Here is a 19,209-nt window from a genome sequence, read left to right on the forward strand (position 1 = left end):
AATCACGCCTCATCTTTGTTTTATGAGGCATGAAATATGCTCTCTCACATCTTCCTAAATTTTCATGTTGCTCCTAACCTAGTAAGTTTCTCATTTTTCAATACTCAGCTTAGACAGTACTTTCTTAATAAAGACTTGGCCTGTCTGTGACAGTTAACAACCTCCTTTCTGGTGCCATCCTCTGCTACAGAGCTTGCCACACTTCAACATAATCAATTTCCTGTCTTCTCCCCCACTAGACTGCTAGCTGAAGGTCAGGAACTTCGGTCTTTTTACCCTTGTATCCCCAGGAATGAATGAATACAACTTGTTTCTTATACTCAGAAGCTGTAGTTACCAAATATTTATTTTTGACTAATACATATAAGAAATAAATTGTTAGACTATTTTATTTAATTATTTGTTTATTTATTTATTTTGAGGCAGAGTCTCACTCTGTTGCCCAGGCTGGAGTGCAGTGGTGCGATCATGGCTCACTGCTAACTCTGCCTCCAGGGTTCAAGCGATTCTCTTGCCTCAGCCTCCTGAGCTGGGATTACAGGCCCCCGCCAGCATGCCCAGCTAATTTTTGTATTTTCAGTAGAGATGGGGTTTCACCGTGCTGGGCAGGCTGGTCTCAAAACTCCTGGCCTCAAGTAATCCACCTGCCTCGGCTAAGAACATTTTATTTAGTATATAAAATCTTTCAAAACAATGTCGCTAAGGAAAAAGGATCATTCCAGGCTGGAATCGATGATAGCCTGAACTGAGGCCATGGTAGGAAGGTTGAAGATAGAAATAATTACTGCCAAAAAGCAAAGGAATTATATATTTATATGTTATTTGCATAAGCAAACGCGCTGCTTATCAAGAAGTCCTCAATGGAGAAGACTGTGAACATATATATAGTAAATATCCATTAAATATTTGTCAATTGAGCAATCGTTCGTTGTTTAGATTGTTATCTTTCTAAGGAAGGGACCCGTGATATACTTTTATTTATTGTTTCCAGTGCCTGACAGAATACTATGTCCATAAAATAATCTCAAATCTAATTTTACTGATTAATCAAATGAGGGAATCCATTAATTATCTCTAAATCTCAACAGGAATGTATAAGACCTGTGTCTTTGAATTTCTCTCTACATATTGAAATATCTGTGAGCTCTTTGAGGAAAGGGGTTCTACCTATTGATTTTTATATTTTAAAGTCTTAACAGAGAACACTGAACATAGCAGAAGTTTAATAAATCTCTGTTATTAAGATTTCATCAGTGAAATACAAGTTTGCTTTGCTCATCATTGTATCCCAGTGACCTAGGGCAAGATCTTATTCATTGTAGGAATTTAGCAAATATTCGTTAAGTAAACATGATTTGGAAATCTTGCTATTGGCAGGTACAATTAAATCTAACATGAAAAGTTTCCCTTGGGGGAAAAAGTAAAGTTTCCCTTGGTGTCTTAGATTGAGGAATAAATGCAGATCAGAGTATGATTCTGAAAGATGTTTTATTTTTTACTATGAAACAACTCTACCCTACAGAGGTGGGGAGCAGGGAGGGGAAGGGAGAGAAGCTGGAAACAAACAAGTGAGGCTCACAGGAGAAAATAGCTCCTCCAAGGGGAGCCACATGCTCTGATACCCATGGCAGTGGCATGAGGAAGCAGCCTAAAATTAGCAGGATGGGCAAGCCCAGGAAGGGAAAACCACGGCAGCCTTTCCTGCCCTCAACAAGTGAGGTGAGGGGCTGGGAGTCCCGGCTGGAACTACCCAATGTAGCCTTTGGAGCTCCACTGCTGTTTGTGCCAGGTAAGGTCCTCCCTCAAAATTCATCTTGGGAGGTAAAGCAAGAGATTTCTTAAGGGGATGTCCAGATAATTGAAATATTTAATACTGTCCCAGTAAAAAGGTGCCTCCAGGAATCTAATGATTAAGAGAGCAATAGATGAAGAACATTCTATTCATCCTTAATCAGGGTATTCATCTGAACCACTCCCTCTCACCTTATTGAATTGGGGCTCTCTGGGGTATGTAGGTGCTGCTTCTTTCAAGTGTTAAAGAGGGGAGGGTGTCCTAGAAAAATCTTTAAAGCCATGTGGGAAAAGGAATGATGAAAGGGCATTGCCAAGCAATGTAAAGAAACTGCAGAGCCAAGAAGGAAAGATCAGAGATAATACAAATAGGACTCAGTGGGCAACAGTCTGCTTTTTTCATGAATGAAGTGCAGAGCAATTGAGCTGATTGAGGACAGTCAACAGAATCCTAGAGAGGACCAGAATATTCTGTATTATTGTTTCATAAAGAACTGGATCAGTGATAGATTTTTACGTTGCACATGAATAACTCCCAGTCAGGGTGCTGATCTATCACTCTCCATTGTTTCTATAAGTTTCTGTCTCCCATACTAGAATTCATTTTAATAATATATTACCAATTGCTTTTTGAAGTTACAGCTCCTCATTAATGGTAAAAACCTTCCAGTGCTATTAACACAGTTTCTCACAGGGTTAATCTGAAGGAGTTGTGCAAGTGGATAGCAGAAATTCAGAACTTTAAAAAAATAAATTAATTGAGATATAATTAATACACCATACAATTCACCTGCTTAAAGTGTGTAAGTCAATGGATTTTAGAAAATTTACAGAGTTGTGCAACCATTGCCACAAACAATTTTAGAACATTTGTATCACCCCCTCATATCCAATAGCAGTAACTCCTCTTTTCCTCCAACATCCTCCCACTCACAGCCCCAGGAAACCATTAATCTACTTTCTGTTTCTGTAGACTTGCCTATTCTCGATATTTCACATCAATGAAATCACACAATGCGTAGTCTTTTGTGAGTTCGTTTGTTTGTTTAATTTTTGAGACAGAGTCTCACTCTGTTACCCAGGACGGAGTGCAGTGGTGCTAGCTTAGCTCACTGCAACCTCTGCCTCCTGGGTTTAAGTGATTCTCATGCCTCAGCATCCCAAGTAGCTGGGATTACAGACATGCGCCACAGTGCTCAGCTAATTTTTGTATTTTTAGTAGAGACAGGGTTTTGCCACGTTGGCCAGGCTGGTCTTGAACTCCTGGCCTCAAGTGATCCACCCACTTTGGCCTCCCAAAGTGCTGGCATTAAAGGTGTGAGCCACTTTGCCTGGCCTGTTTTTTGTTTATTTGTTTGTTTGTTTGTTTTTGAGACTCGCTCTGTCGCCCAGACTGGAGTGCAGTGGCGCGATCTCGGCTCACTGCAAGCTCCGTTTCCCGGGTTCATGCCATTCTCCTGCCTCAGCCTCCCGAGTAGCTGGGACTACAGGTGTCTGCCACCATGCCCGGCTAATTTTGTTTTTGTATTTTTAGTAGAGATGGGGTTTCACCGTGTTAGCCAGGCTGGTCTCGATCTCCTGACCCCATGATTCGCCCGCTTCAGGCTCCCAAAGTGCTGGGATTACAGGCGTGAGCCAGCGCGCCTGGCCTTATTTGTTTGTTTTTAAGAGAATGCTTAAGTGTGCGAGAAGAGAGAAGAGAAGCCTCTTTTGTTGTTGAAGTATCAACTGTTGATTCACCCAAAAAAGGATCTGTAATTGTCTCCAGTCTCTGTTTTCAGTGAATATTTATAACCCATTACTCTAAGATTGTCCAGTTATAGTGGTACTTCAGTGTTATATATAATGAAATGATTAATAAATGCTTTACAGTAATGATAATTTTCACTTAATGATAATCTTGGATATGATCTGATGGAATGAAGTATATCCATTTAGGGTATCATTAGAGAACTTATATGGGACACAGCCTAAGGTTTTAGTAAATAATAAATGAAGTATGATGTAGTGTGTCTAGAATAGCGCCTTGCAGGTATTAGATTATTAGTAAATAGGCATATTTTCCTCCATCCGACTTTCAGTGTTAGACGTCTACTCGTGTTATAAAACCTACAGAGCAGATTTGAAAAAAATCTTAACCTGGCAGAATGCTTTGAACATACTACTCAATGAACACTTTTTTTTTTGAGACAAAGTCTCACTCTGTCACCCAGGTTGGAGTGCAGTGGCGCAATCTCAGCTCACTGCAACCTCTGCCTTCTGGGTTCAAGCAATTCTCCTGCCTCAGCCTCCCAACTAGCTGGGATTACAGGCACCCACCACCACATCCGGCTGATTTTTTTGTATTTTTAGTAGAGATGGGGTTTCACCACGTTGGTCAGGCTGGTTTCGAACTCCTGACCTCAAGTGATCTACCCGCCTCGGCCTCCCAAAGTGCTAGGATTACAGGCGTGAGCCACCGCGCCAGGCCTCAATGAGCACTTATTAAAACAGGTAAGGTAGATATAGTCATGAATATGTGCAATATAGAGCTGTGACATTCTTTCATAAAGGCTGGGGAAAATAGTTTCATATCCCGGACTAGGAGGCACTAATTATAATTTCAAGTTTGAACTATCAATTATAATCTTAGATAACCTACTTACTTTCTCTGGTCTTTATCTACATCTCCAGACTAGGAATGATAACACTGGATTATAGCTAAAATGTTATACCCATTGTTCATACTGTAAAACTCCATTATGTCTCCAAGACATACCTGCCCTGTGTTTATTTCATGCTAAAGGTGACACATTGAATTATAGGATCGCTTCTTAAGGAAGTCCAGTTGGTTGACTGTCATAAGACCTTGGAGCTTATAATTACATTGATGAAATTACCAGGTTTCATTGTCTGGTGTTCAGCTTTTCAAACTCAGAAACGTAATATATATTTTTTCCCAAAATTCTTAGAGTGATCCGGCCCCTTAGCAAAGTACTCGCATTAACCAAATTCCCAAGAGAGTACTAGGTCAGCCAGAATTCCAATTTGTTAATTTACAATGATAAAAATGGTTTTAAAGCAAACCAAACAGCATGTTATGTTAAAAATCAGCTTTTCTTTTCTTTACGAGGAAACTTATTTTTTAAAAAACTAAACTGAAATTAGAATGCTGCTGGGTAGGCATGGACTGGAGAAAGGCAGGTAATTGATTATGGCATCTTGTGAGCATTGGCCTGGGCTCCCAGCTTCTCCACCAGGAGCAATAGGGCTCTCTCGGGTGGACAGTGCTGATTCTTTATTCTCTGATTTCTCTTTCCTACCTGTCATTCTATTACCTCTTAAGATATAGATATATGCATATTTATATTTAAGTATAAAGACATATATACATATATACCATCAACTAGACTACAGCCCTTTTTTTTTTTTTTTTTTTTTGACAGGGTCTTGCCCTATTGCCCAGGCTGGAGTGTGTTGGTGCAATCTCGGCTCACTGCAACCTCCAGCTCCCAGGCTCAGGTGATCCTCCCACCTCAGCCTCTCGATTAGCTAGGGCTACAGGTGCCTGCCACTATGCTGGGCTAATTTTTGTATTTTAGGTAGAGATGGGGTTTCACCATGTTACCCAGGCTGGTCTTGAACTCCGGGGCTCAAGTGATCTGCCCCCACTTAGCCTCCCAAAGTGCTGGGATTATAGGCATGAGCAACTGCGCCCAGCCTAGACTACAGCCCAAATTTGCTCGTTTTTTTTTTATTTTCCTTCTTTTGATGTGCTTGAGGCATTCTGGTTTTTTGATGTGGAGGAAGAGTTTTACTATTTTGTCCTCTTTATAAAAATAAACACTTTTATTAGAACTTTTTTTTTTAAAGTGCAGCCAAAAAAAAAAAATTACAAGAGAAAAATCACCCGTAATTCTGCTCCCTGGCTATAACTAACATTTTAAAATATTGTAATCCAGGTTGGGTTCTTTGGCTAGTACTTGTAATCCCAGTGCTTTGGGAGGCCAAGGTGAATGGATTACTTGAGCCCAGGAGTTCGAGGGTGCAGTGAGCTATGATTGTGTCACTGCTCTCCAGTCTGGGCAACAGAGCACAGCTCTGTCTCTAAAAAAAAGAAAAGAGTATTTGACTCCAGAATTTTAAAAAATAAAGTGCAGTCATAAATATTGTTTTGAAAACTGGTGAAAAAAATTTTACATATCATCTTTCCATGTTAAGAAATGTATGTTGTTGGCCGGGTGCAGTGGCTCACACCTGTAATCCCAGCACTTTGGGAGACCCACCGAGGTGGGTGGATCATCTGAGGTCAGGAGTTTGAGACCAGCCTGGCCAACATGGTGAAAACCTGCCTCTACTAAAAATATGAAAATTAGCCGGGCATGGTGGCAGGCGCCTGTTATCCCAGCTACTCGGGAGGCTGAGGCAGGAGAATCACTTGAACCTGGGAGGTGGAGGTTGCAGTGAGCCGAGATTGAGCCATTGCACTCCAGCCTGGGGGACAAGAGTGAGACTTCGTCTCAAAAAAAAAAAAAAAGAAATGTATGTTGTTTCCAGTTTTTTGCTGTTACAAGCAGTTCTTGATGAACATCCTTATAAATACAGGAATGCTAGTTGTTCTTAAGGATCGTCAAATTACATGCATTATTCATGATATGTTGATTTTCTAGTTAAATTTTCAGAGTGTAGGAGTGCTGTATGATGCTTCCATGTGTTTTCTATAAAATAAAATTCTTTCATAATTATGTCACTTTATTTTATGTGTCATGTTTAAGCTTTCAATCCTTTGTATATTATTTCATTCTTATACTCATTGTAAATTTTCTGAAGTAAGCAAAACAGTTTTCCTCATTTTTCGTTAACTGAAAAGGTGAGGTAACTGAAGCATGTAGAATGATTTACCCAAGGCTGTATAGCTAGTGAGAGATAGAGCTGGGGCTCGAACCTGCTTGTTTTCTTGGATCAGTGGTTTCCAACTTGTGAGCAAGACCCCTGGAGGGCCATGAATTAACTGTAATGGGCCCACAAATCCATGTGTACATCAAAAATTATCTGAAAACAGATAATTTTTATTTTTTTTAGTAGAGATGAAGTCTCACTATATTGCCCAGGCTGGTCTCCCATGAACCCTTGAGCTCAAGTGATCCTCCTGCCTTGGCCTCCCAAAGCGGTGGAATTTTAGGCGTGAGCCACCAGGTCCAGCTGTCTACAACATTTTTACATGTTGGAAAAAGGAGGCCTCATCCCAACCTTGAAAAGATTAGAAACCAGTGCTTTTGACCTTGGTAAGTTTCATTATATTTGCTCTTAAGTATTCTAAAATGGCTTAAAATTCTTGACAAAACCATGGCTCTAAAAATGTAGCTGACATCAGAAAGGGGTCTCGATCCAGACCCCAAGACAGCGTTCTTGGATCAAGAAAGAATTCAGGGCAAGTCCATAGAGTAAAGTGAAAGCAAGTTTATTAAGAAAGTAAAGGAATAGGCCGAGCGTGGTGGCTCATGCCTGTAATCCCAGCACTTTGGGAAGGCCAGGCAGGCAAATCACGAGGTCAGCAGATCGAGACCATCCCGGCTAACGTGGTGAAACCCCATCTCTACTAAAAAAAAAAAAAAAAAAAAGAAATACAAAAAATGAACCGGGTGTGGTGGCGGGTGCCTGTAGTCCCAGCTACTCGGGAGGCTGAGGCAGGAGAATGGCGTGAACCCCGGAGGCGGAGCTTGCAGTGAGCCGAGATCGCACCACTGCACTCCAGCCTGGGTGACAGAGCGAGACTCCGTCTCAAAAAAAAAAAAAGGAAGTAAAAGAATAAAAGAATAGCTACTCCGTAGGCAGAGCTGAGTAGACATAGACTGAGTATACATATTGTTGCTTCTTGATTATATGCTAAACAAGGGGTGGATTATTCACGAGTTTTCCAGGAAAGGGGTAAATATTTCCCAGAACTGAGGGCCCCTCCACTTTTTAGGCTACATAGGGAAACTTCCTGTCATTGCCATGGCATTTGTAAACTGTCACGGTGGTGGTGAGTGGGAGTGTCTTTTAGCATGCGAATATACTATAATTAGCGTATAATGAGAAGTGAGGACAACCAAAGGTCACTTTCGTCGCCATCTTGGATTTGGTGGATTTTGGCTGGCTTCTTGACCATATCCTGTTTTATCAGCAGTATCTTTACGATCTATATCTTGTGAAACCAATCCTGCCCGCCTTCTGTCTCATCCTGTGACTAAGAATGCCTAATCTGCTGGGAATGCAGCCCAGCAGGTCTCGGCCTTATTTTATTTTTTAATTAATTTTTTTTTTTTGAGATGGAGTTTCGCTCTTGTTGCCCAGGCTGGAGTGCAATGGCGCTATCTCGGCTCACTGCAACCTCTGCCTCCCAGGTTCAAGCGATTCTCCTGCCTCAGCCTCCTGAGTAGCTGGGACTACAGGCTGCCTGCCACCACGCCCAATATTTGTATTTTTAGTAGAGACGGGGTTTCACCATGTTGGCCAGTCTGGTCTTCAACTCCTGACCTCAGGTGATCCATCCACCTCGGCTTCCCAAAGCGCTGGGATTACAAGCGTGAGCCACTGCCTCTAGCCTTGGTCTCAGCCTTATTTTACCCAGCCCCTATTCGAGATGGAAGTCACCGTGGTTCAAACACCTCTGGCATAGGTAGCAGCATTTAATACAAATAAAATTTATTTCGTGATATGTAAATTAGGCTCCTCTGAAACAATGTCACTGGGTCTTAAAGTTTAGCATTTTCAAAGAAAACAAAAAATAGGTGGGTGTGACTGTGTAAAATATAAAGCATGGGGGCTGGACACAGTGACTCAGGCCTGTCATCCCAGCACTTTGGGAGGCCAAGGTGGGCAGATCACTTGAGGTCAGGAGTTCGAGACCAGTCTGGCCAACATAGTGAATCCCTGTCTCCACTAAAATTACAAAAAGTAGCTGGGCATGGTGGCGGGTGCTGTAATCCCAGCTACTAGGGAGATTGAGGCCTGAGAATCACTTGAACCTGGAAGACGGAGGTTGCAGTGAGCCAAGATTTCACCATTGCACTCCAGCCTGGGCTACAGAGGGAGACTTTTTAAAAGCAATGAAGAAGATATAAGGCACGAGGTCAGGAGCAGTTTGGGAGGCTGTGGTGGATGGATTGCTTGAGCTCAGGAGTTCCAGACCAGCCTTGGCAACATGGTAAAACCCCTTCTCTACAAAAAATTCAAAAATTACCTGGGTGTGGGTGTGGAGTCACATATCTGTGGTCCCAGCTACTCGGGAGGCTGAGGTGGGAAGATTGCTTGAGTCTGGGAGGTCGAGGCTGTAGTAAGAAGAGATCACTCTATTACACTCCAGCTTGGGTGACAGAGTCAGTCCCTGTCTCAAAAAAAAAAAAAAAAATTATAAGGCATGAAAGGCATGCATATGACTAACTCTTTTTTGGCTGTAATTTGCAGAAGCATCCTGTGCACTGTGGCAAGGTGGGAGAGCCTATCACAAATCACACTGCAGACCAGGGTCTCCCTGCCTCCCATCTGAAGTACCAGCCATTTACAACTCCACAAACTGAGTACCTAGAACCAGCCTAATGTGGATCCTCCAGGCAGAGCTCTGTTACAGAGTCTTACTTCAGAGACTAATTGGAAGTGAATAATTTAAAGAATCTTCCCCTAAGTTTTCTTTAAAGACAAAACACTTTTGAATGTTCATAAGCATAGGTTATATGGAACTAAGAGTAGCAAGACAAAGTCCTAGGGACAGAAAGGAGAATGGTGGTTGCCAGCAGTTGGGGGAAGAGGGGAATAGGGGGTTATTGTTTAATGGATACAGAGGTTTAATTTTGCGAGATGAAAAAGATTCTGGAGGTGGGTGGTGACAATGGCTGTACAACAATGTGAGTGTACTCAATGCCACAGAACTGAAACCTTCAAAATGGTTAAAATGGTAAATTGTATGTTATGCATATTTTACCAAAATCCAGAATGGAAAAAAAATTGTTATCTGGAGATCAGATTTCAAAATAAATTTTTTATTAGGCCTTTTTCTCACAAAATTGAAATAGAATAGAATTATGCTAAGATAGTTCATTATTAGGTATGAATTTGATTCAGAGATCGATAAAAGATAATATACACAAATCAACCGATATTTCTAATAATTCCTAAATCATGTCATCCTATTTATGGGGACAAGATTCACCAAAACCTGAAGATTTATAAGATAAACACTGGTCTGGGCAAATGATAACTCTTAATACTTCAGTATTGACTTGCCGTGTAACTCTTAAGTCAATTGTTCTTTCTGTATGTCAGTTTTCTCATATGTGAAACATGAGTATTAAAGCAGATCTGACTTTGGGAGGTTGAGGCAGGAGGATCACAAGGTCAGGAGTTCAAGACCAGCCTGGCCAATATGGTGAAGCCCCGTCTCTACTAAAAATACAAAAATTAGCCGGGCATGGTGGCAGCCGCCTGTAGTCCCAGCTACTCGGGAGACTGAGGCAGGAGAATCACTTGAACCTGGGAGGCGGAGGTTGCAGTGAGCTGAGATTGTGCCACTGCCCTCCAGCCTGAGTGACAGAGTGAGGCAAAAAAATTATTCAAGCACAGTATTATTAATAATATTTGGGCATTTGAATATAATAGGATTTAAAACATCACCGTTCCTTTGTATTTGACATCTGTCCCAGTTCATCATCATTATCCTCAGGAGCATTTATTTAGAAGAACTGAATCTGCTTTGTCTTATTCTACATAAGAGTGTTTATATGCATTCAACGGTAGTCTATTAGACAATTCACGATCATAGAAAGGTTAGGATATTCCTCACTTTCCTAGATTTCTCTATTCAAAATCACTTAACCTTAACAATAATTTGGTTAGTCTATGTTGAATACCAAGCTTATGCTGACATCCTTTTTAGATCAGATAATACAAGAGATATATCAATACGCTCAATTATTATTTTCCTATCACAAAGCACATAGCATAAACTGGATATACTGCTCTGATATTTGTCTCTGCTCTACTTATTTGGCTAAAGAAGGATTGTTTGATACCTGGTTGTCAGATCAAATTATAATTTAAATCCTTTAGCTATGTTTAGCTCCTTGGCAGTAGGTGAGTAGAGAACATAGAATTCAGAAGCATATGGTTCAGGAACATGGTAACTAGATATGAAGCATTTTACCTCTATGTTACCGGTGTGAATCTGAACTTGATTACTATTGGTGCTCTGTACAAGATGTAAGTGATCTGATTTGCATCTCTAATGGAGCACCCCATGTTACAAAACTCATCACCCTTGGCACTAATTAGCATTCTTGTTGTCAGCCTCGGGATAGACGCCAAGGACTGAATCAGTCTGGAAACCTGAACTGCTGCTGTGTCTGACTCATCAGTCTAGGTGGCCCATTCAGCCTTTGGCCTTTCCTTAGAGTTTACAGCTCAGTGCAACTGGGTGTGCTCCACTCTGTGACTTCACAAAGTGAACTAAAAGATGTTTATTTAAAATAAATATATTTTTATAATAGTAATGATAATAGTGGTGGTTTACATTTATTGACCACTTGCTAGGAGCCAGGCATTGTTCTAAAAGTATTAACTCACTTAAGTCTCACAGCATTCCTATGATATTTTCCTCTTTTACAGAGGTGAGAAAACTGAGACACAAAGAGATTAAATAACTTGCCTAATGTTTCTCACATAATAAGTGGCGGAGTTGGAATACAGCTCTAAATACTAAATTACTCTCTTCCTAATTATAGCATTTATTTGATTTTCTCTTTTATCATCTTACTATATAGCTGATTTAAAAAAAAAAAAATCCGTGTCCAAACCAAATGGGGCATATATCAATTTCCAAATTTTAAAATTGTTCATCTTTCAGTACTAGTTTTTAAGTACTATTTGTTTTCAAAAGAGGTGATGTCCCTTTCTTAAATTTAGTTCATGTGCATCATTATTCTGAACTTAAGGTCCTTAAAGATCTCAATTTTAGGCCGGGCATGGTGGCTCATGCCTGTAATCCTAGCACTTTGGGAGGCCAAGGTGGGTGGATTGCCTGAGTTCAGGAATTCCAGACTAGCCAGGGCAACATGGTGAAACCCTGTCTCTACTAAAAATACAAAAATTAGCTGGGCATGGTGGCAGGCACCTGTAATCCCAGCTACTTGGGAGGCTGAAGTGGGAGAATCTCTTGAACCTGGGAGGCGAAGGTTGCAGTGAGCTGAGATTGCGCCTCTGCACTCCAGCCTGGGCAACAGAGCGAGACTCTGTCTCCAAAAAAAAGATCTCAATTTTACTATGGCTTTTATGCTTATCTATTTTTTTATTATTTAAGTTAAACATTACCTGATCGTGGCACTTGGAAACGTTCTCTGCCCTTCACTTTCTAAATTAATAGATTTAGAATCTAAATTAATTTGAGAGGACAAAATAAAATAAATCTCTATCAAACACTTAATTCCAACACATAGTTCACATGATTGGTGAACAAATGACAAACAGGCAGTCCAGCTACTTCTTTTTATTAACATAGTAATTAGATTATTTTCACCACTATTCATGCAAAATTGGAAAGCAGGTAAGAAATTTTTTGGCTGGGCACGGTGACTCACACCTGTAATCCCAGCACTTTGGGAGGCCGAGGCGGGCGGATCATGAGGTCAGGTGTTTGAGGCCAGCCTGGGCAACACGGCAAAACCTCGTCTCTTTAAAAATACAAAAATTAGCCCGGTGTGGTGGCAGGCGCCTGTAATCCCAGCTACTCAGGAGGCTGAGGCAGGAGAATCGCTTGAACCCAGGAGGCAGAGGTTGCAGTGAGCTGAGATCATGCCATTGCACTCCAGCCTGGGCGACAAGAGCAAGACTCTGTCTCAAAAAACAAATTTTTTTTGAAAATCTGGGTCTTTATTTTATGAGATTTCCCATAGTAGCCAGGGAAGAAGTTTTTAATACACTAAGTGACCTTTAAAATAAAGTTCACGAAGCAATTACATATGTTTCGATGAACATATAAATTAATCTGGTTCTCACAGTTTTCTTAAGACTTAGTAAAATAATATTGGTAGTAATTACTGTTTAGAGACATAAAATAATCTATAACCACCTTTTAATGTTTCTTTTTGTTGCCTTGTATACCCAGTTACTCAAAGCTGTTGTAAGTCTCATTTGGCACACATTTATTGCTCCAGTTTTGCTAATAGATAAAATTTGGGGTGGCTCCCAAAATAACCCTCATTAGACTAAATTAATAATGTCAACTTGAAAATCTGAGTTTTACTGCTGGCTTACATGGATATGCAGCATGGCCTTTCTAGTGCTTAACTTTCCTATATACAAAATAATCATAATGAAGACCAATTTCAAGGGCAGGAGTGTTGTTTTGTTGTTGTTGTTGTTTTTATTGGCATGTAATAACAAATATGTGATTGTAGGTAACTTCAGATGTCTACTTTAAAAATAGTAACTACAGCCTGGCCAACATGGTGACACCCAGTCTCTATTAAAAATACAAAAATTAGCTGGGCATAGTGCCACGCGCCTGTCATCCCAGCCTCATGTCTCAGGAGGCTAAGACATGAGAATCACTTGAACTTGGGAGGCAGAGGTTGCAGTGAGCCAAGATCGTGCCACTGCACTCCAGCCTGGGTGACAGAGCAAGACTCTGTCTCAAAAAAAAAAAAGTAACTAATAATTTGCAGATAGAGATGCACAGAGAGAATTGCTTATTATGTATTGTTGCTTCAATTCCTTTAAGCTATTTCTTTGACTAGTGAGAGATAGTAAATCACCTGCATTTCCAAGGACTTGGAAACACTTTGGAGGAAGTCATGAAATCAAGGTAATACCAATATCACCAGATGTCTCCATCTTGTTACTCTGCATCTTCTGTGTTTTTTTCCAAATAGATTCCTGAATGCATTACTAATGAGTGTGCAGGCCTCTGAAATGTGGCGTGGTGTAGCAGACAAGAGCTGGGCTTCGGCGTTGTATGGACCTTAGATGTGAATCACAGCTCTGAGTGGCTTTGTGCAATTTCTTCTCTGATCTTCAGTTTCCTCCTCTATAAAAAGAGGATAATGATATAGTATACCTTGGAAAATCTTAAAGTATGCTTCCTAAGTCTTTTTCAGATCCTTGAATTTGCAAAAACCACAGTAGCATATAATTTTTTCAGTTTCATCCTTCACTAAATAGGGATAATGACCTATACTTCCTGGGTTATTGTAGTAAATTAAATTATGAATTAAATATGAAGAACAAAGCTTGGTTAATGTGGATGCTGGGTTGGGGTGAGCTAGGGTCACTCAGGGAGCTAAATAATTCATTCTGGCTTATCTGCCTTTCCAGAAATGAGTCCAGTTTGCAGTCAGTCACAAATAGTTGAAATCATGATTGAAATTAGAAAATATTATGTGTGTTTTAAGTGTACTGTTTATTTCTGGGCAAACAGGAAACAGTCTGTGGCTTGAGTGGGATCCCCAAAACCAGCGCATGAGAATGAACAGAACTGCCCATCGGCGATGAGGATTAGGGTCATGAAGCACAAAACTCATTAGAAGCAGCATATGGAAGCAAGAAAGAGCCTGATCTTTACAGGGTGGATAGAAAGCAAGGACCTTATGTAAAACAAAGGTTGGGCAAAGGTAGTCAGAAAAAAATAGTAGTAAGCCGGTTTAGAAGGATGTAAAAGTACGAAAACACCTCTTATTAGCACCTGTGGACGAACCCTTGGGCAAGGTGGTCACTGAAAACAGCACCAAGTCTTTTTCAAAAGCAAGAATTCCCCTATACCAATTATCTCAAGAATTATAAGCATCCATTGAGCCAAATGCACATATAGTTCCTCAGTTTGTGACTGGTGCATGGTGAACATACGATCATTTTTAGCTCCTTTCTTCATTTGATTTAATTCTTAATAGTATTTTTGTGTTAAAAAAAATCATAACCATTAATGACAATTAAATCAGTTAATGTTGCTGAGAGTCTAGGCCATTTGATCTTTCCTGGCACATGATAAGTTTTCAGTAAATACATGTTGATTGACTGAATAAGACAGTTTACACATCATTTTTATGGCATGCCACAGATAAATATTTATTATGTGCCTACTTTGTGTCATGCCTTGAGATTAGAACTGAGTGACCTAAAAAGAAAAATTTTGTATAGCTTCAATTCTCAAAAAGTTGATCTAGTTGAGTAAATAATACATAAATACGTAAAAAAAGACCTGGTTGAATTCAACAATATAAGAAACACTGCAACAAGCAACAAGTAGTTGTTTAATTACATAAGTGGAAGTGACAGTGAACAAAGGCACGAAGTAAAGAGAAGGCAAGGAAATATTGGTGGAACATTTTGGTTGGAGATAAGTAATTGTGTAGAAGAGTGGCAGGTAAGACCAGAACAGTGGTTTGTATTTCATAAGATTGGGATGCTCACATTTCTGATTATACCAAAGCTTTTCTTATCCTTGATGAAAATTTGCTCTAGCTGCCTTCATCAGTATGTAATGTCATCCTTTGGCCTGATGGTATTTTTTAGCTTTATATTCTCTTTTGTCCGATATTAAGATTACTACACCAACTTTCTTTAGGTTCATAGTTGCTTAATATAAGCTTTCATTCCTTTCATTTTTAACATTTTTTTTCATTTTGTCTTCAATGTGTTTATTTAATATTCTTGTTCTTAACTCCAGGTTGACAGTATCTGTCTTTTAGTTGGTGGATTTAACCTATTTGTACTTATATTTACTCAATTTTTTAAAACTTACTTCTGATAGCTTATTATATTTTTAATTTACTGAACTTCTCATTTCTTCCTTTTTGTTTCTGTTCCTGATTTCAATTGTATAGGTCAAGTTTTCTTCTGCTGGTTTAGAAATTGTAAATTTTGTTTTTATACTTGTTATCCTTATCTTAAGATATAGTCTCATATTTACTTATCCCTATTGACTTCCTTAACTTATTAATATTTGCATTTTTCTCCTAACAGGAAAAGTACTTTATCACATTGTCATCTGCCTTTAATTTTTTGATACTGCCCAGAATTTAAATTCTGGGTTCTCTTGAATGATGAATATTACCAAAATATTTGGTTTTCATTAATTCTCTATCTCTTAAACAGCAATTTTCAGGGATCTATTTCTCTCTCCTTTTTTTTTTTTTTTTTTTTTGAGATAGGGTCTCATTTTACTGCAGCCCAGGCTGGAGTGCAGTGGCACAATCAAAGCTCATTGCAGCCTCCACCTCCCAGGCTCGATCCTCCTGCCTCAGCCTCCCAGGTAGCTGGTACTACAGGCACACACCACCACGCCCAGCTAATTATTTTTTAAATTTTTTATAGAGGTGGTGTTTCATCATGTTGCCCAGGCTGGTCTCAAACTCCTAGGCTCAAGTCATCCACCGCCTCAGCTTCCCAAAGTGCTGGGATTATGGCTGTGAGCCACTTCACCTGCTGTGCTTCTCTTATTTTTATTACTTTCTCCCAAAATGTTTTCTCACAAAAAATGAGTCTTTGTATGGCAAACCATTTGAGACCTATGTGAGAGAGTACTTTTATTATACCTTCAAATTTGAATGACAGTTTGTCTAGAAATAATATTCTAGGTTCAAATTTCTTTTCCTTCCATTATTTAAAAATATGGCTCTATTGTTTTGCATTCAGTGTTGCTGTTGGGAAATCGAATGGCAGTCTGGGTCTTGTTCCTTTGCAGGTGAACTGCTCTTTACTTATGGAAGCTCTTGGAATATTTTCTTTGTATTTGATTATATTAACTTAACTACAATTAAAAAAAAGAAAATTTGCACAATATTGTCAGGCCAGTGGACTTATAATAGATTTATCCCCAGCTAAATTTATCCCCATTGTGAAAAATTTTTGTGTTTAACTTCTCTGTAACATTATCTGCTTACTTATCCCTTTTAGTGACATTATCACCTGCATTTCGAACTGAAGCTCACTGTCTAGCCTAAAAGATGAAGGGAAAGGAGATCTAAGATATTTAATACACATGATAATTACATTGAACCATGAATCTTTGTTTGGGCTGTTTTGATTAATTCATTCTTAGTTTGGAATGAAGAGCAATTTGGAGGTGAGCAAAATGGATGAAAAAGCAAAACAAAAAGATTTTGCAGGTCTTCCTACTGCCTTTATTCACTTGGAAGTTTGCTGACTCTGGAAAATGCCAGACATATAGATTCATATGCAAATAAAAATGTGAACTTGGATAAGGATATAAGATACAAATTTCTTTTGAATTTTCCATGGTCTGTGTTCTCCAAGCTCTTCCTCTGTACTCTTTCCTCCTTGACAACAGTTTCATTCCATTTGGCACTTACTATTTTCCTGACAAATTATATGTAATAAGATGGTAACTTCCCAGAAGTGTGTATTAGCCGTTGCTATTTCAGTCAACCAATTTTATTGAGTCTTCTTTGTGAAAATAGCCCTAGAGCTTAGTCATATGCTATTTTTCTGTACCCTTCATGTTTCTATTAAATAAACACAAAGTCAATAAAACTAAAGTGGTATCTTTAACAATCCCATTGCCCATCAATACATATGAAAATCATGATGAATTTCCTCCTTTGAGTGAGTTCTGATTTTTGAACTAATCTTAAAGATTCTTCTTCATGATAAGACAGTGGAGGGCCATTGAAAAGAGAGTGAGTTCTAAACTAAAAGGCTTATGTTAGGCTGGGTGTGGTGGCTCATGCCTGTAATTCCAGCACTTTGGGAGGCTGATGTGGGCAGATCACCTGAGGTCAGGAGTTCAAAACCAGCCTGACTAACGTGGTGAAACCCTGTCTCTACTAAAAATGCAAAAATTAGCCAGCCGTGGTGGCAGGCGCCTGTAATCCCAGCTACTTTGGAGGCTGAGGCAGGAGAATCACTTGAACCTGGGAGCTGGAGGTTGCAGTGAGCTGAGACCGCACCATTGCACTCCAGCCTAAGCAACAAGAGTGAAACTCTGTCTCAAACAACAACAAGCCTCTAAAAGGCTTAGGTTTGAATCTACTCAACTGTGTAACTCACTGGTTGGGTAACTTTGGGAAAACTATGCTTCTTTAAGGCGTAATTTCCTCCCAGTAACATGCAGATAACAACACTTTGCAGGGTTGCTATGAGAATTAAATGAGAGTAACTTAGACTACTCCCCAGCCTAGAATACACTTGTAAGAAATGTTAGTTCCCATTTCCTTTCCCGCACATCATTAACATTAGTGTGATTACCTGGGTCATGAGTAAGAACACTGAACTTTGTTTTCAGTTTTTGGAGATGTCCAAGCAGACCAAAAATAGAATCTGTGTGGAATCACTCAGATCCTGGCATATTGGCATATTTTGAGCTAACCTTATGAAGAGAGAATATTCAAGCTGTTATTTTCCTACCCCTAACTTGTAAAAACTTTATTGACCCATGTTGCTGTGCTCAGAAATAACACCAAAGCATTTAAATTTAGTTTTAAAAGAACAAACCTCTTGTATTATTTCAGCACAATAATTATAACAAATAGAAATGAAAAAATAGGTCTGTCATAGCATTCTGACTGCTTCCAATGCCCCACTTTTCAGCAATAATGCCTAACTCCAGTCTACATATCAATTCATGTTCCCAGATAAAACATTGCATGTAGAGTTTATTGCAAGCATTTGCTTTTTTCTTTCTAAATTATCACTTCTTTTTGTTTGCTTAGTCATACAAAATAATGTCAGGGTCGGTTTCAGTCAGAAAAATTACAAACTTAAACCCTATATAGTGTTCCCTTAGAATATTTACTAAAAGAAAGATATATTTTCTATTATTTCTTTCTTTATTTATTTTTTTGAGACAGAGTCTCACTCTGTCGCCCAGGCTGGAGTGTAGGGGCGTGATCTTGGCTCACTGTAACATCTGCCTCCTGGGTTCAAGTGATTCTCCTGTCTCAGCCTCCCAAGTAGCTGGGATTACAGGCACGCACCACCACGCCCAGCTAATTTTTGTATTTTTAATAGAGACAGGGTTTCACCATGTTGGCCAGGCTGGCTTTGAACTCCTGACCTCAGGTGAGCCACCCGCCTCAGCCTGCAAAGTGCTGGGATTATAGGCATGAGCCACCATGCCCGGCCTAATATGTTTTCTATTCATTTTTACCTTGAATTTTTCACAAATATGTTGGAAATATAATCATTTGAATATTTGCAGTGGTTATGAGCACAGACTCAGGTTCAATTTTGGCTCAGTCACTTACTTGTTGTGTGACCTTGGGCAAGTTTTAAACTTCTTTCTAAGCCTCAAGTTTTCATCTGTAAAATGAGAATTATAACAGTACCTACTTCATAGACGTTAAAGGAATCTATTAAATAAAACACACACACAAAGAGCCTAGCATAGTGCCTCGCACATAGCTAAGGAATGTTAACTTATTACTACCAAGACTATAGTATATTTATGTGTGT

At 39.5% G+C, this 19,209-nt stretch overlaps 1 protein-coding gene across 3 annotated transcripts in view; it reads left to right on the plus strand.

Moving 5' to 3' along the window:
* Positions 1–1,693: 1,693 nt before the first annotated feature.
* MYPN (myopalladin) overlaps positions 1,694–19,209 on the plus strand; it is a 124,121-nt gene continuing 106,605 nt past the window's right edge. For 2 of the 3 annotated variants that reach the window (XM_017016834.3, XM_047425877.1), the window contains exon 1: positions 1,694–1,789. The gene's annotated coding sequence lies outside the window, so the exon portion shown is untranslated. Of the gene's footprint in view, positions 1,790–6,852; positions 7,056–19,209 lie in introns of all 3 variants that reach the window. The other variant, XM_047425879.1, reaches the window with a different exon arrangement.

Source organism: Homo sapiens, chromosome 10, assembly GCF_000001405.40.
Source record: "Homo sapiens chromosome 10, GRCh38.p14 Primary Assembly".
NCBI classification, from domain to species: Eukaryota; Metazoa; Chordata; class Mammalia; order Primates; family Hominidae; genus Homo; species Homo sapiens.